Consider the following 17,400-nt stretch of genomic DNA (forward strand, 5'->3'; position numbering starts at 1 on the left):
TCTTTTTAAATCTATTTTGTTTTTGCATTATCTTATGCATTTATTGGTATGGTAATATATTTTTGTTGAGTGGTAAACTCCATTTTTATATATTAAAGTTAATAACTTTTTGTCAAATGTGTTAGCTCTTTCAGTATGATAGTGGCAAATTGTGTAATAGTGAAAAATTAGAAAAATATATACTTTCAGAAATAGAAGAATGATTAAATAGATTTTGCCCATTTCAGATGAATATAAAAAATAGGAAACTTTGTATTTCTTTCAAATACAATAATTTTGGTTCAAGTTCACATTGACTATATCTACACAATAAGAGTGTTCCTACACAAAAAAGAGAAAATGAATTGGTTATTTAAATTACAAAAACAGCCAGTTCAGATAATAAATTGAGAACTACTGAATGTTAGGTAATGCAAAAGACTTTGTGAGCCAAAGAGAATGGTATAGATGTAGTACTTGCATTTTTTCACACCAATTATCACAACCCTGGAGACAAAACTTAAAATTAAGATAGTGGATAAGATTGCCATAAAATGATTTTGATTCAGGTTTGGAATATACGAAAAATGTCATTTACAGTTTGAAGTTTAACATTTGTGAGAGACAATACCTATTATTAGTAAAAAATGTAAATAATTAAGGAAAAGGCCATTTTGTGATTCCAGTGTTCTGTATTTTACTTCTTAGTAATATTGGCACATTTTGGAGCAATTTAGCAACTTTTTACAACTTCTTATGATGTGTGGTCAGACCAATATTGACCAATATATTTCCCCCAAACCTTTTCTCTGTTATTTATTTACCTTCAACAACAACCAAGAAACATCAGTTTTATAAAGCAATTCTGTTCTTATGACTATATGACCTAAAGGAATAAACCATTTCAGTTACAAACCCAGTGCAAATAAAAAATTATGGAAAAGCCCTTGATGGTATCTCATTATTTTCCTCTTGGTTTTTCTTTCATTTCCTAAAGACATTAGTTTGTCTTGCTTACTACCAGACTGTCATTTCTTGAATCAAATCAGGCTATTTGTAGATACTACCTTTTTAAAATTAACTCAGTAATTCATTTAAATACAAACAGATGTTAGATATATCAGATTTGACTTACTCATCATTTTTGTAACTCACATCATTTCTAAAGTTCATTTAAAAGGAACTAACTCAAAAAAAAAAATTCCACTTAACATCTAGCTCAGTGGTTCTCAACCCTGGCTGAACATTAGAATCATCTGTAATTGACTTTTGAAACACACCAATGATAAATATACTTCCTTGTCATATGACAGAAATCCATTCCAGACAAATTAATAAATCAAGAAACTTTATAGGTGACAAAGGTATTTGTATGTTTTAAAATCTCTTCAGATTATTCAAATATGCATCAAAGTTTGAGATCTTCAAATTATAGTTCCTTCATTGGCAGTCTAGGAAGGCCAATCAAATAAATCCATCATTCAACCCTGAAAACACAAAATAGAAAGTAAAAGTAGGAGGATCATGAAAGAATTTGTTGCAGTGAATGATTTCAATTTCTAAAAACTTGAGTGACAACAAATTCCTGTCCAAAGGCTTAAATGAATAACATGTGCTTTAATTTGTGGTAGATTAATTTTGAGAGATCTGTTCTGTGTTGAGATCCACTGTAATTTCATTAGTAAAATTTAATACTTTATTTTTGTTTGCCTTGACATTCCATACAAGGTTTGGAAATTGCTTAGGATGGGGCTGGCATAGCATTTGGTGCAAGCCGAGTCTGGAGGCTTAGGGCATTCCAAACAGTGTTTTATTTGTACTTTATATGACACTTAAAATACATGGTCACTGATGAAACTCCATACAAGCAGATGAGATCTGTAAATAATTGATTTGACCATTGTGTCAGCTCATTTTCAAAGAAGAATACTTTCATAGATTTTTACTGTTCACACCAATGCAGTAATTTCTAAGAAGGTGAATATTTAACACCATACAGGCAGAGCATACTCGTTGACTAAGATAAATGATTTCTGAGTTGAGTTACTTAGGAGAAAATTAAATTCTAGTAGTGACAATTATTTTTTATTGTATTTCTCATCTTGTAAGTTCAGCAACTCTTCTATCCACAACCACTCCATAAACTACTTCTCCTTCTGCAGACTTGTTTGTGAAAGTCATACTGCAGAATGAGATATAAACAGACCGCCCCTCTTTGTATTACCTGCTACATGCAGCCCTATGACTACTGCATTTTATTTTCAAATTGAAGATCAATTGATTTCCCAAAACATGATTAGATGCATTTGGTTCTGACCTTTCAGGTTCATTTGTTATTAACACAACTTGAGAGCTAATCGTTCACTAGCTGCCCATAAAACACATGCTAGGCAAATTCTTGTGTTTTCTTATTCCTTCTCTTTGCAGATTTTTGATAAACATTTAATGGTTTACAACATAACAATTCTGTTAGCAAGGTGACTATGACTGATTTGCCACTTTGGTGGTATATAAGCTTTCTGAGTTTATTTTATTTTGAATTTCAGAACCTCCACTGATGTCTAAGGTTCTAAGAGTATAAAGCAGCCATCCCATTCCTCTGACTTTATCCTCTGGATGAGAACATAGAAAAGAGAAAATAAATTACTTGCCCGTGGAAGCCACTCTCATTTTCTGGTTTGATTCAAGGGTAAAAATAAAATTATCAAGAGAAAAAGGCCCACTCTATTCTTTTCAGGCAATTTTCCAAAACATTATTTCTCAAAATGAAGCTTTGATACATCTTGGATTGCTGAGAGTTGAAGGTTGTAATCTTAGGCAAGAATTTGGAATCTGGATATTATTACCTGTTGATTAAAAGAAGATTCCTATGCATTGATAGACAAATGGCTACAGGGCCAGGGTAAATTTGTCTTATAAAAATAAAGACACCTGATACAGGTACCTGAGTAGATAGCCACCTTTCCCAGTCATCAGGTGAGCAGGGAAATAATAAAGGAAAGGATATTCCTATACTCGGATTTGATAGCAATGGACCCATCAAAATGACTTTCTTGTGTTGTAAGCCCCCAACCTGTGTTGGGGAAATGTAATTTAAAAACAGAACAAAACAAAACCTTTCTGCTAACCCAGAAGTTCCCTTCACTAGGGTAGTAGAGAAAGAAAACCCTTTTTGTTATTGAATAACATTGAACCAGAATGTGATGTGCATCATAGGCAATCTGCTAATAGACTGCAAAGACGAGAAGAAATCTCACCCTTCGTATAGCCAAGGAGATAGACTCCATTTTATACATATTCTCAAGATCAACAATAATTAAGTTGGTCCTCAAGTAAGAAAAAAATGACAGCATCGTTAATTATACATAGTTCATCTTAAGTTCACCTGGAATTTGGGATGACAATCTGTGTCTGGCTTTACACAAGGTAAAGTAAACTTCTCATATCTTTAGGACATGGGGTCGTTTCATAACTTTGAGCCAGGCTTGAGCTAAAGTTAGAGTCTTATCCTCCCTGGAAACTGGCAGATGGGGATGATGTCTTTCTTGGTTGTTTACATTTAAAGGACATGGTTCTCAAGTCCTTGAAAGAGACTTTTCAGGGCCTGACAAAAGGCCCACCTGTTTTCAAAAGAATTTGTATACATTTCAAAGAGAGGAGAAAGTACTTACAATGATGAGTTTTCTAAAGTAAATGCTTTAAGAAAAAGAAGGAGGAGGGAAATCTCTCCCCTTATGCTCAGCAGCAAGAATTAAGCCTTTCTTTTTGAATTTCCAATTGTTCTTACACTTGGTTGGCAAGAACCAGAATTAAAATCAGAGAGAGTCTGGTTCTGAAGTAGCCAATAAAAAGAAACAGGTCTCATTTATTTTTCTCTTCTAGAAACTCAGTTAAATCTACTATAGGAGAAGTGGGCGTTTGACAATTTTGGGGTCTCTCCTTCAAAGTCATCTCAACAGATTAAAGTTGGGTTTGATATTGTAGTGAGTCATTGTCAAGTTGAGCAGAAGTCAGGAACTAAAAGGACCCACAACTCCTCTGTGTGGTGGCTTGGGAAGACTATTTCTAGTTTCCAAGAGAAACAAACAAAACACTAAGATCAGGGTTAATAATTATTTGGAACTCACATCATTCAGATGTCACATGGTTTTGACCCCAGATTCAACATTTTACTCTTTAGAGTCCATTGTACCTGCATCCTTTATCTATGAGGCTGCCTTTATAGGACCTTAATTACTGAACGTTTTATAGCTTCTGGCTTATGGATAATAAACTCTGATACCAGATTTTATCTTTTTTCACCAAAGTCAATAGTTACATAAATGCACAAAACATTTGAAATCTTTCAGGAAAAAAAAAGAACATGCAGCATTTAATCATATTATGATACACATTTCTTGGAAATGGCTTTTTGTTCTCAATACATGCAGCCTAATTTCATATTCACAAGAACACATGTGTAGGTTATTTTGTTTTCATTTTGCAGTAAAGAATATGCATATTTGATGTTGCATTTAATGGGAATGAAAAACCAACTCACACAGCACATTCTTTTAAAAAATGCTTTCTGTAACATTGGCTTAATGTTTCAGAAGAATATATTACCTATTACCCAAGGTTAACTCTGAATTTAAAAAAAAACCAAGATTTTGAGTTTGACTGTGTTCCAGAATTATGACTTCCAAAGCATCTTAAGTTCTTTCTTGCTTGTATTTTCTTATATCCAAAATAAGTGTGTTGTTTCATTGGCAATATAATAAAATACTGAGCCTTAACTGCCAGTGTGCTAGTTTGAAAATAGAATTGATTTATTTGTTGATGATTCTCACTTTTCTTACATGTTCACCTTTGTTATTCCCAAGTTTTTTAGCTCTTTACCTATAATGAGATTGGCAAATAAACCCAGTAAAAACTTCACAAAGTGTCTAAAACGATGGCTGTAGCTGTCATAGCATAGTACAACTTTTCCAACTGGCTGCTAAATTGTGGGGCCAAACATTTATTTGACCTGCTGGTGGGTTCGGGAAGAGCTGAGAAATAGTGCTAAGCTTGCTGGCATGGCATCAGAGGATGATCTGCCTATGGTGCTTCAATCTGATTTAATGATTCCTATTATAATAAAATTTTATATTTCAGAGGGAACTTAGAAGGCATTTATTCCAATATTTTATTTAATGTTATAATCCCATCTACATCATATATGCTCATATATCTTCTATTGAACCTCTCCTGGTAACAGAGTTCACCATTTCAGAAGCCAAACTCAATATAGGTTTTAGTTTGACTAAGACAAACTAAGTAATGGCTATGTGAACAACAAAAGCAAATATAAAACGTGGAATAAGCTGGGGTTTAATTTGGAGCACTATGACCTTGGGTGTGATATTGACTCCTTCTGAGCTTCAATTTTATTCTTTGTAAAATGGAATCAAATGATCGTGAAGGTCTGCCTAAGTGTATGTAAAGTGCTTAGCATATAAAATACATGGCACTTAAAAAGTATTAGCCAAATGATGATCATTTCCTTAAACCTCTGTAAAATTAACTACTAAATGCTGGTACTTTAAGAAAAATCATGTTGGTGCTTTCAGAAAAAGCAAAATAATGGTAATTTTTATTTGTTAGAAAAATTAATGAGCAGATGTACTTGAGTCATTTCCTCCCTTCATTCTAGGGCTTCAGAGAATTCCAGATGATGAAAGCTACAGCTTACTTCTTACTTTTTGCCTGTTGATTTTCTATGGCCAGAACAAACCAGAGCAGTCATGAGCCACCCCTTTGTTAGTGCTTTTTATCTGTCTCCTTCTTCTAGTCTAAAATATACTTTCTCATAATAATGCAGAATGTAACCGCGATTCACAATCCTGTTTAGCTGCTTGGCCAAGACATTCACCTTGCACATAGGAGCCAGCTCTAAGTCACCACTGCTTCTTCACCTCATGATCTGGCTGAGGGCAAAGCACAGACAGTTGCCTACAGAAAGGCAACTGACCTCCTTTATTTTCTACCAGGCATTTCGGAAGGTTCCCATGTTAGTCATGAGTTGGAACCTGGAAATAGAAAGTTCTGGTCAGTTCCTCCATTGGTGTTATTCCGTCACATTGTTCTATCAGAGACATGTCTTAGAACTATATTTCTCTTCTTGCTTCATCTCTGATATTTTCTTTTATACTTTCTTTTGTATAATCTGCCTTCACAGTTGCCAATAGCCATCTTCCACTCAATTAAGTTTATCTTATCTGTTCCAGACAGTTCAACCCTATCATATAGGAACAGAGAGACTGAATGGGTAAAGAAATTATTGGAATCACTCCTCTACCACAGAGCAAAATTGTAAGATCAAGCAAATCAATATATGAAGAAAAGCGAGAGGTTATTTGGTCTTGGTCTTTTGTAATGTTCCTTTTTGCAAAAGCTGGGACTTAATTCAATCCCTATTCAGTTTACCTCCTTGTTAGATGATGCATTTTAGGGAATGGTGCAGTCAATGCTAAAGTGAAGTTAAGTCATCAGCCAAGTCATGGAAGGGTGTGGGTGTGGGTGAGATATAACAGTGCTGTTCCTTAAGGCAGCCCCTGCCCCTCAAAACCATCATGGCACTTTGTAGGAGGCCAGAACTGCTCTGCTGAACTGCCAAGAGATTGGAGTCTGATGTAAAGGTACAGCTGTTTGTCTTTATTATGCCATTAATAGTGAAACAAGGAAGGATCTACTTAAGGAATAAAAATAAGCTTTTCCTATTGTAGTATAAACCATTTTTTTGTAGGAGATGCTATGCCCAAATATTAATGTATAATTTTCAGGTGTATATTTTTAAATTTATTCATCTTAACCTGACTACCATATTCTCTTATTTTACAGCAATGAAGTTGGAGCAGAGGCTGAAAACACAGGCTGCTGAAGTTTTTTGGAATGCTGGTGCTAACCACTTGCTAGATTTAACTTTTTTTTTTTTTTCCAGAATGAGTGCTCCCTTTATGAGCTGCAGTGCAGCAGAACCAAAAAAAAAGTTTGCTGCAATTATATAGCATCACAGTGCTCTGCTAACAGCCAGCATAGAAGAGATTTACCTACAGCTTTTTGCACCACTGTTCTAGCCTTTAATGCCTTCTACTTAATATTAAGCTGACCGCAATACTAACGTGCCCCTATATTTGGCAGCCAAATAAAGAAGAATCGTGGGTAAATAGAAGAATGGCTGTGACTATTTTTCAATACAAATTTTATTTAATGCATACATTTCTAACTGAGTCAGGTTTTTATTCCCCTTTTACTTCACTTTTTTACATGAAAAAAATCACAACTTTTAAAGTAACTAATTAGCTTTCAGAAGACGCTGATATTCAGAGGTTCTCTGGTGAGATCTTGAACATGAGAAAGTTGGTATTTTGTATAACACACATTGCTTTCCTGTTCTGTTGGGATTCGGTGCTGCTGGGACAGACTATGTGCCAGGAGCAGCCCAGTGCTGATGAACATCGCGTTACTGGAGTGTCTGTGTCTGGGATACCACTGTCTCTCTGCCTGTCACCACATGATTCTTGTGAAGACTACTTTAGAGTTAGTTTGTATCCAAAATCCTGAGAGCAGCAGAGACCATAGAGCAAACCCATACTTGATGACAGTCCTGAGAGCCCCCTAGAGGCACATCATGTGCCCACCGTGTTGGCCATCTTCAATTTATTTCCCAGTTGTCATCCCCAGCAGTCTGTCCTAGCCCCCTCTAAGTGATTTCCTTCTTCTGCTCATATGGGAAGCCTAGGATAACACACATTAAGAAAGAACAGGAGTCTGGACAGTGAGCCCCTGATGGTAAAGCAGTCTTGGGAAAACTGGCTTCATTCACTCTTTGCACATTGCCCATGTTCTCTGTGGAGCCAGCTCTGAGCCACAGTGCCCCTAAATCAAGCTTCATCACCCAGTCCCATCACCCAAACTCAAGCAGGGAGAGTGACCTATAGAAGAGCAACTAGGCTCCTTCATTCTCCAATAGCCATTTTAGAATGTTCTAATTTCAGCTATTATTTGACAAATGGAAATAAATACTTCTCAATGTCCCCTTTGTTGGTGTTAGAGAAGCAAAGGAGGCTCAATAAAGCCCTCTGCTCATCTCTCCTTCCCCCCAAAAAAACCATTTCTCCATCAACCTGATAAATTGTGTGGAGCATCACTTTAGATTATTAATAATGATCTCTAACATTCACTGTGCTCTTATCATGAGCAATGCACCACACCAAGTACTTTACATGAATGTAATTTAACCTCCACAATGAGCCTGTGATGTTGGTAATATTATTATCCATATTTTATTTTTGTGAGAACAGGCTCCTCCAAATGGTTAAATTAAGCTAGTAAGTGGCAGCGGCAGAATTCAAGTCCAAGTAATCTGATTCTAAGACCAAGCCACTTACTCAATCATTTGTGTAGTTATTTACGCAGTCATTTTTGGATCTCCAGTGTAAAAGGGTGACTTGATTACACTCCTCAGCTCATGGCAGATTTCTGTCACAAATTTGGGCAAGCCCCCCTCATGTATGCTTGTTGATTAATGATCATCATTTATAAGAATTTCTATCTTCCCTTCTCTGCTGTATGCACACATTCTTATTTATTTAATGTATATCTTTTGCTCATATATGTTTTGAAGATGTACATTGTTTTGTCTGCATATATATTTAATAAATATAAATGGTATTGCTTATATTCTGTTTTTTTTTTTTGTTTTTTTCTACTCAGCTCTGTTTTTAAAGCTTTATACACATTGCTCTATAGACATCTATTATATTGTGTTCTCACAGCTGCGTGGTAGAGTCTCATCACATTTTACTTATCTACCCGCCCAGCCTTGGTCTCTCAGGTTGTTTTCCTGTACCAACTGTTGTGATGTACATTCTTGCATGTGCCCCCTTGTGGACCTCTGTGAGAATTTCTCTGGAATACATACATAGGACTAGAATTGTTTAATCCTGAAGTTCCCATGTACTTAATTTGATGAAATCCTCCCAGATTACTTTTTAGAGTAGCTGCACCATTTTTTATTCCCATCAGCAATGCATTAGGTTTCTTATATCCCCAAGTACCTTTCCACCTTTGAAGGTCTGATCTTTGAAACATTAGGATCCAATGTCATTGGAGGCAACTCTTAAAATGGGAAGGTTGTTTGACGTGGTGTCCTATTCATCCTATATTTTCCAATTCTCTAAGACTTTTATACCCTTTAACTCATTGCAATTTTCAGTCAAGTATTATTATCTTCATTTCATTTGTCAACCTAAATAACAGAGTGAGGCCCTTAAAAGAAAAAGAAATTTATTTGGGAGTAGAATATTGCGGTGGGTATACATAGGCTATAGTAAACTATTTGCATGCATATTAAGGGAAGTAAAAAACAATAAAGAATTTTAAAGGAAAAAATGAGGAGGATTACATGATAATTTTGAAATAATTATCCTTAACTGCAAATATCAGTAACAAAGGTGACACCAGTTCAAGATTGGATAGGCAGTTGCTGTCCTTGTAGAAATATTTTGTTGTATAAGCTTCCCATGGCTTTTGTACAAGGTTGTGATTTTGCAGAGTTTTCTGTAATAGCTTTTATCAGGCATAGTAGCAGGAGAACTCTCTCTTCATGGCCGTTTCTGGCTCTATCAGATTTTTGTTTTTAAATGTTTGTGACTCCATTTTGATTCTGACAACTTTCACTTGTTACTGAAACATTTGAGACCGACAGGTTATTTGACTGAGGTCACCAAATTAGTGAATGACAAACCTAGCACAAGGTCTTTTGATTTTCCTACTGTGTCATTGCTACAAATTGCTGCATCTGAACATCATGGTTTAATTTATTTGTTCAGTTTCTCAGTAAAGAACAAAGTCTTAAGAGCGTGAGCATAGGAAAGGCAAGTGTTGATTATTGGGAGAACATGGGACATGAATTAGTGACTTTTCAGTTTGGTGAGCAGCACATTCAGTGCACTAAGGAGGTTGGGGGCACTATGTATGTTTCTGAGGAGGAAGGAGATGGGGACAGATGATGTGGAATTTGCCAGGTACTGAGACTGCATCTTTATTTGGGTTCTTCCAGAAGCGAACTCTAAGACAAGGATTTAGTGTAAGTAGTTTATTTGGGAGATAATAATAGGAAACACTGATAAGGAAGTGAGGAAGTAAGCTAGGGAAGCCAGTTACTACATTGGGCAACTACTGTAGTTTATTTCCACTAAGAAATTTGAGGACACAGGTTGAACAGTCCTCAGACTTCATTCAGTTTAGAGGAAAGGAAACTAGGGTAGTAATTCTTAAGTCTGACTATTAACCTTTACGTGACTATGGCTGTGACTTCCCTCTTTATAAAGCTTTTGTTTTTTTCGGACTTTTCATTACACATCACCGGTGGGACCCATTATTTTCTTGTGAAATTTTAATTTGGTGAAAATGGAAGGTCTTTTGAATATTGTTCTTCATAGTCTCTGAAGTAAAGTGCAGAAACAAAGAGATAATTGAAAGCTTAAGTAACAAGGGAATATTCTCAGAACTTTATCTATTGGGCAAGCAGAAAAATCTGCAATTAGGACAGGGAACAAAAATTCTACTTTAACTAGACTGCTGCAGATTTCTACATGTGAATTGTTTATCAATTAGAAATTAAATCAACTGTATGAGATGATAACTTGATTTATAAGAAGAAAAGATTGCTTTGCTTAGAGTAAATCCAGAGGTCTTAGAGTAATCAACTAGTAGTTAGAAAATATTTCTGGATTTGTTTAAAATATATAGCACATTTGGGGGACATTTCATATATTCCTGTGGTAGGTTGTAAAATTAAATGTTTTATTCCCTTCATACTTTAAAATGTATTATTTTCAATTTATTTGACTAGAAATAGGCTTTTCTCTTCATTTTATAGTTTAATAAAAACGCTTTAATTTCTTATAAAAGTTTTCTAACAGATGTATATACAATTGCTCAACATCACTTAAGCACCTGAGTCCATATTTTCCTTAATTGGAAACTCTGGGGATAAATTCAAAAAATAAAACCACACAACAGGCAGAGGAAGAGTCATAAATGCTAAAAAAAAGAAGGAAAAGTAAAAAAGACAAATTTTTCCAGGGGGCTACAGATTGTGATTTAAAAATATTGAACAGAATATCTAAATTGAAACAATGGAAAACTCAATTAAAAATATGTTTAGCCAAAAATATGTTCTGTGGAAGTACTAAGAGGCAAAAGGTTCTGATAATAATGTGAATAGAACTGGATAATATTTCTCACAAGGCTTAGAAGCCTTTTCAACTTCGAGCTGAGTTAAATCACTTAAGGGCGTAGAAATTCTAGAGATTTTGTCAACTCTGCTTTTGAGTCACAGTTCAGTCTTTTTGTTTTTCTTTTTAAATCAATACTAGTTTAGGTAAAAATAGCAGAAGTTGTGGAGAAATTAAAGTTAGCAGCTTACTTCTCTTTTCCAACTAACAGATAAAGTTTGTAAAACCTTTTACTTAAGTCATTTAAGATTAGAGAAAGAAGTAGATTTTGAAGAATGCGTAGTAGGCCAGGCTCTGAACTTTTAAGAACTGGTGCTCAGTTAATATTAGGTAGGTTCAACAGAATTTAGGAAAGTATACCAACAAGGACTGAAGCTTTCATTCATTATTATATACTAAGGCAGTAATACTAGGGAGAAAATTCTATTTTTCAAAATTTGTTTTTGCACACAACTAATAATATTTACATAAAAGGGAGAAAACAAAAATGTGTACTTTCTTCTAAGTTTCCAGTCCTATCACTGCTCACAGATTTTGCTTGCATTTTTGCATCGGGCGTAATAATAAGGGAGATTAAACGTTAAGGTTAAGATGTGGCAGAATTGGATTGGAATTTTGGTCTTTTTTTCTCTGAAGGTCTTTTTCCTCTACAAGTGTTTTTCCATTTTTCTTCTGCCATGAGTCAAACAGTTAACACTCTCTTGGAAGTCACATTCCCTTCTCTAAGGGTACATCAGTAAGAGCTATGAATGGAGATTATGACAGGTGGGAGCCTCTTTACCAGCTCGGGCGGCAAATAGTTTCAAGTCTGATTTTTCAGATTAACGGTTCAAGTTTCCACTTGCCCAACAAGCAGGAAATCTGAATAACTATGTTTGGATATTCTCCTCTGAATCCCCTTGCCCAAAGCCTCCTTTATGCAAGATGAAACTCCTTTTTGGGAACTAAGCTCCACTTCTCTCAGACAATCTTGATGGGCACAATACTACTCAAACAATTCTTCCTAAATTAACAAAATCTGCTTTAAAGAGACTGTTTCTTGAACTATGGACATAGTTCTGTATTTTTGATTTCTCTTTTCAAACTTCTGCCTTACTTGACACTCCATTACAATACAGGAGGATTTAGAGATTACATCCATTTCAGTGGCATGCCAGCTGCTCTTCCTCTCTTCTTCTGCACGTGCTAGTGCTTTACCACTCTAATATTGAAAACTTCTGTTATAACACCCTATTCCCTGAATAATTGAGAAAACCCAGTGTGATTTGTTCACCACTTCAGAATACACTTGCTAAATCATTCTCAATAGTAATATGTAGAATGCTGCCTCTAGTTAAGACTGGCTTAACACATCCCTGCTTGCTAAGATAAATTCAATGCCCTCTCCAAGATTTCTGTGAATTCCCAAAGATTATATTTTTCTAGAGCAAATTCCTAGCTTCTATGGAACATTCATGTCCTACTTCGCATCTTGCTGAAACATTCTTAGCACGCCTTCAGTGTGGATCACATTCCCTTTACCTGAGAATCCCTACCTACAAGTCCCCTACACCAAGGTATAAGCTAGACTTTTACTGAAGATTTGTGAGCTATGGTGATAACTGAGAGATGAAGACTTATTACATGTCAACAAATGACGGACTATTTAAATTGGATTTTAGACTTCCTAGTTCTTAAAAAGGAATGAGTCATTTATGACAAATTGGCATCTTCCATTTCCACCTTGCTGTTTGGAGTCCTTCTCTCATTTTCTCTCTCCTTAACTTCATTCTGTCCACAAATTGCTTCTTAATTTTTATACAACTGTTTTACTATCTCTTTCTTAGATCTTCTATCCATCTAAATAGCTTATTGATTTTTCTAAATAAAAAGCTTCTTTCCTCAGAGCTGCGTCAAGAGATACAATAATAAGTAATGCCATTAGTGCTCAGAAAGTAGTAGCCAAAATTTTCACCTAAAAATCTACCACAACTTTTTTCCCGTTCTTACTTTAAAGAAAGTGAAAATATCACAAAACTTCAGCAAATTGGAATCATCATAGTAAAACAAACAACAAAAGAATCCCTCAAACCCAACCCCAAAAACAGTTTTGTTGGTCCCTTCTGGAGTTGCTCCTCAGGCATTCCCTGCCCAAGGTGAGACAACCAGCCACAGAGCTCCCACAACGGGCTACTCTTTAGCCCCTTTCACCTACTGAGACCTTCTATCTTCTCAGCTACTCTGCCACTAACACACTTGGACTCTCCCTCATTGCCAGGCCCCTTTCATATCAATAACTTGAGTTTGGACCACATCCTGAGCTCTGATATGACACTCCCCTGAGGGACTGATCCCTCAGCTTGATGGTCCTCTATCCTATTCAAGTCACTGGTACGGCTGTGGAGATCTCAGGTCTGAGGGCCTGAGTGTCGGAGTGGGTGTTCACTAGACTGGAACTGTTTTGGAGTCTTAGTTGGTGGTCATGCATTGATTAATAAGCTATGGTGAAGGTAATCAATGCTTTCTACCTTAGAAGTAGACAGTAATAGTCAGAGAAACACTGAAATGCGCAGTTCACTGAAAGTAAGCTTGACTTTCTGGGAAAATGACTAGAAAAATTTTTAGTTTCTATTGGCTATGTGAAAGTTGTACTTTAGAGGATTTAAATAGAGCAGAATTTATGAGACCAAGTTGCAAATCAGCTCTAAAACCCAAAGTCATTTTGGTTACATAAGACACATTTTTAGGCTTATGAAAATTTTACATGTCAGGCCATTTCCTAAGTGAGGGCTTTATCTCTACAATTAATAAAATATATAAATGGAAACCTGCAGCTGGCTGAATTGTCCTTTCTGTTCACATCGTATTTCCATTTATGCTTAGAGCCGGAATTTAACTTAAAAAACACGCTTTGTACACCTGATAAGCTTCTGCTTTATTGTACTCCCCTGGGAAAAGAATTTCAGATATTCGTAACGAAGAGAGCTTCTTTTGCTGTCAGGGCCAGCTAGACACAACCTCAGAGAAGGCTTTCCTGGAAAACACTTCTCAGTCACCTCTTGGACATGGTAGCTGATTAGGCAGTCATTTTAGGCTTCTGGCTTTGGAAGTGTCACAGCCCGCTAGCACCTTCCCTGATTCAGGGCTGGGGGTTAGGCAAAGGAATAAAAGTAGATGAGTTGTCAAATCATTCTTTCATTTTAATCTAGTCACATTTCCCCAGCCTCTGAGCTTCCCAATGTACTTCCCAATACATACACCCTCCTGACACACACATACTTCTACACGCACACCACACACACACTGCACAACCACTTTTTCTTCCTCACATACATACACCTTCACACAAATAGACACACTCCTGTACCTGATGACTACTAGTGGAATTATAAGCATGCTCTTTTAGTTCTGATGGCTCCAGAATAATCTAACCTTTTGAATATTTTAACACAGACTAATGAACACCAATGTGGTGGGATATGCCTGCTTTTGTAGAAACCCAAGGTGTTAGGGGCTAAGACAACTCTTCTCAGTCAGAATGGCAACCATTTGGTATCAGTCTTCCCCATCCCTTATCCCATACTCATGCCAGAATATTTTTCTGATCATGGTCTTGAGCTATGGAGTCTAGGTTTGGCTTCAGAATCCTCCACACAGAGTTCCAGCCAGCCATAATCATAAGGTAGTAACTTATGTTCCAGCTGAAACCTGTTACCACCCCTGTCCTGAAGTGTTGCAGTTTGGCCCTTTGACAACACTTTCCTTTGTGCTCTATTTTTCCTCCCCATTTCTCATTCACTCTGGAGGTCTGAACCAACTCAGATTCTCAGCACTCCTTCTATCATCAGACAAGTGGTGTTTATGCTCTGGGTTCTGTACTTCAAGAGGCCCTCAGCTTTGGAGTACCTTCCCTAAAGTGTCTAAAACCCCCTTTGATTACTGTGATGAGCCAGGATTGGCAGTGCTACCCAAATGGGGCATCCTGAGTTGGCACAAGGAACTGCATGGGCCCTTGTCCCCATTTCTCCCATGCAGAGTATCTTGACTCTATTTTTTGCTTGGGTCAACCAGGTACTCTAAGATGCTCAGAGACCCATGCCTAGAGGGATGTCCCAAAGTCAGGCCCCAGTACCAGGAGAATGGTCTGGTAAGCAGACCACCCTAGCTGTGCTGTGTTATTTCTTTCATGCAAGGTTGGGCCTCCACATAGTCCTGATATGCCAATTCTTGCCAACTCAAGAATTTTTGCTTATATAGACAAAAATTCCACAAAATATAGTCTTGCTGCAATGTTAACACCATTAGAGTTCTACTTATCTTTCCTTCCTGCCAATTTCTCAAAACTCATTAATTTTATTGTACAAAAGAAATAATATACTTGCAACATTTTCAAAATTAAAATGTACTTGTCCTAGTTCCTAGTGCCAATAGGACACAATGTCATTGATTGACCTAACAAGGGGGCTGTCTGAGAGACCTAATTTTGGTCAATGAGATTTAAGAGAAAGCCTACTTAGGGGTTTCTAGGAAGCGTTTCATAGCTCTTAAAAAAAGACATAATAGGACAGTGATGTAAGGAAGATAGTGGAATAGGAAGATCCATATTTTCTTTACTCCCATGGAAACACCAATATAAGAACAATACATGAACCAATTCCTTTTATGAGAAATCAAGAAGCCAGTTAATAGTTTCCTGCACCCTGACAAGCATAGAATAAGCTGCATCAAAGATAACAGGAAAACTTGTGGCAGTCTTTTGTCACAGTTCCTTTCCCTAGCCTAGCACCAGCAATATACAATCAGGAGAAAACTCCAAGCTATTAGCTTCTCTGGGTGGAGAAAGAGAGAAGACTCTGCCTTAGTACTATGCTCTGACATTTTGTGGGACTGTTCAAGGGGTTGACACCTTCTTTTCTGTCTTGGAGCACTGACAGGACCTAGCAAAATCCAGATATTTGGGGGTCACTGGGAATAAAAAAAGAGTTGTGCAGGGTGCTAATGCTCCTGAGGGTCTATTATAGAGCATACAGAGCCTGATACAGCATGACGACCTCTCCCTTAGCAGAATAGAGAAGAGGAGAGTGTGCATCCAACATTCCAGCTTTTTTTTTTAATTATACTTTAAGTTCTAGGGTACGTGTGCACAATGTGCAGGTTTGTTACATATGTATGCATGTGCCATGTTGGTGTGCCGCACCCATTAACTTGTCATTTACATTGGGTATATCTCCTAATGCTTTCCCTCCCCCCTTCCCCACCCCACAACAGGCCCTGGTGTGTGATGTTCCCCTTCCCGTGTCCAAGTGTTTTCACTGTTCAATTCCCACCTATGAGTGAGAACATGTGTTGTTTGTTTTTTTGTACTTGCGATAGTTTGCTGAGAATGATGGTTTCCAGCTTCATCCATGTCCCTACAAAGGACATGAACTCATCATTTTTTATGGCTGCTTAGGATTCCATGGTGTATATGTACCACATTTTCTTAATCCAGTCTATCATTCATGGACATTTGGGTTGGCTCCAAGTCTTTGCTATTGTGAATAGTGCCACAATAAACATACGTGTGCATGTGTCTTTATAGCAGCATGATTTATAATCCTTTGGGTATATACCCAGTAATGGGATGGCAGGGTCAAATGGTATTTCTAGTTCTAGATCCTTGAGGAATCACCACACTGACTTCCACAATGGTTGAACTAGTTTACAGTCCCACCAACAGTGTAAAAGTGTTCCTATTTCTCCACATCCTCTCCAGTCAGCACCTGTTGTTTCTTGACTTTTTAATGATCGTCATTCTAACTGGTGTGAGATGGTATCTCATTGTGGTTTTGATTTGCATTTCTCTGATGGCCAGTGATGATGAGCATTTTTTCATGTGTCTATTGGCTGCATAAATGTCTTCTTTTGAGAAGTGTCTGTTCATATCCTTCGCCCACTTGTTGGTGGGGTTGTTCGTTTTTTTTCTTGTAAATTTGTTTGAGTTCTTTGTAGATTCTGGGTATTAGCCCTTTGTCAAAATTTTGACAAAATTTTCCAAAAATTTTCTCCCATTCTGTAGGTTGCCTGTTCACTCTGATGGTAGTTTCTTTTGCTGTGCAGAAGCTCTTTAGTTTAATTAGATCCCATTTGTCAATTTTGGCTTTTGTTGCCATTGCTTTTGTTGTTTTAGACATGAAGT

At 36.8% G+C, this 17,400-nt stretch overlaps 1 protein-coding gene across 17 annotated transcripts in view, besides 1 other annotated feature; it reads left to right on the plus strand.

Annotated features, from left to right (window-relative positions):
• Positions 1-7,171, plus strand: part of MLIP (muscular LMNA interacting protein) — a 247,311-nt gene extending 240,140 nt beyond the window's left edge. For 10 of the 17 annotated variants that reach the window (XM_047419509.1, NM_138569.3, XM_024446579.2 and 7 more), the window contains one exon: positions 6,841-7,171. In XM_047419509.1, coding sequence (XP_047275465.1) covers positions 6,841-6,846 — 6 coding nt within the window. In that variant the 3' untranslated portion in view covers positions 6,847-7,171. Of the gene's footprint in view, positions 1-2,525; positions 2,696-6,840 lie in introns of those variants that run through there. The other 7 variants (XM_005249476.6, XM_005249480.6, XM_005249478.6 and 4 more) reach the window with 1 other exon arrangement.
• Positions 3,302-4,058: an enhancer, noted in NCBI's record as "OCT4-NANOG hESC enhancer chr6:54127209-54127965 (GRCh37/hg19 assembly coordinates)". NCBI's record gives its function as "activates a minimal SCP1, AML or CMV promoter by ChIP-STARR-seq in naive and primed H9 embryonic stem cells {active_cell/tissue: H9 hESC(naive and primed)}" and the evidence as "EXISTENCE:reporter gene assay evidence [ECO:0000049][PMID:30033119]".
• Positions 7,172-17,400: the final 10,229 nt, after the last annotated feature.

Source organism: Homo sapiens, chromosome 6 (genome assembly GCF_000001405.40).
Source record: "Homo sapiens chromosome 6, GRCh38.p14 Primary Assembly".
NCBI lineage: Eukaryota > Metazoa > Chordata > Mammalia > Primates > Hominidae > Homo > Homo sapiens.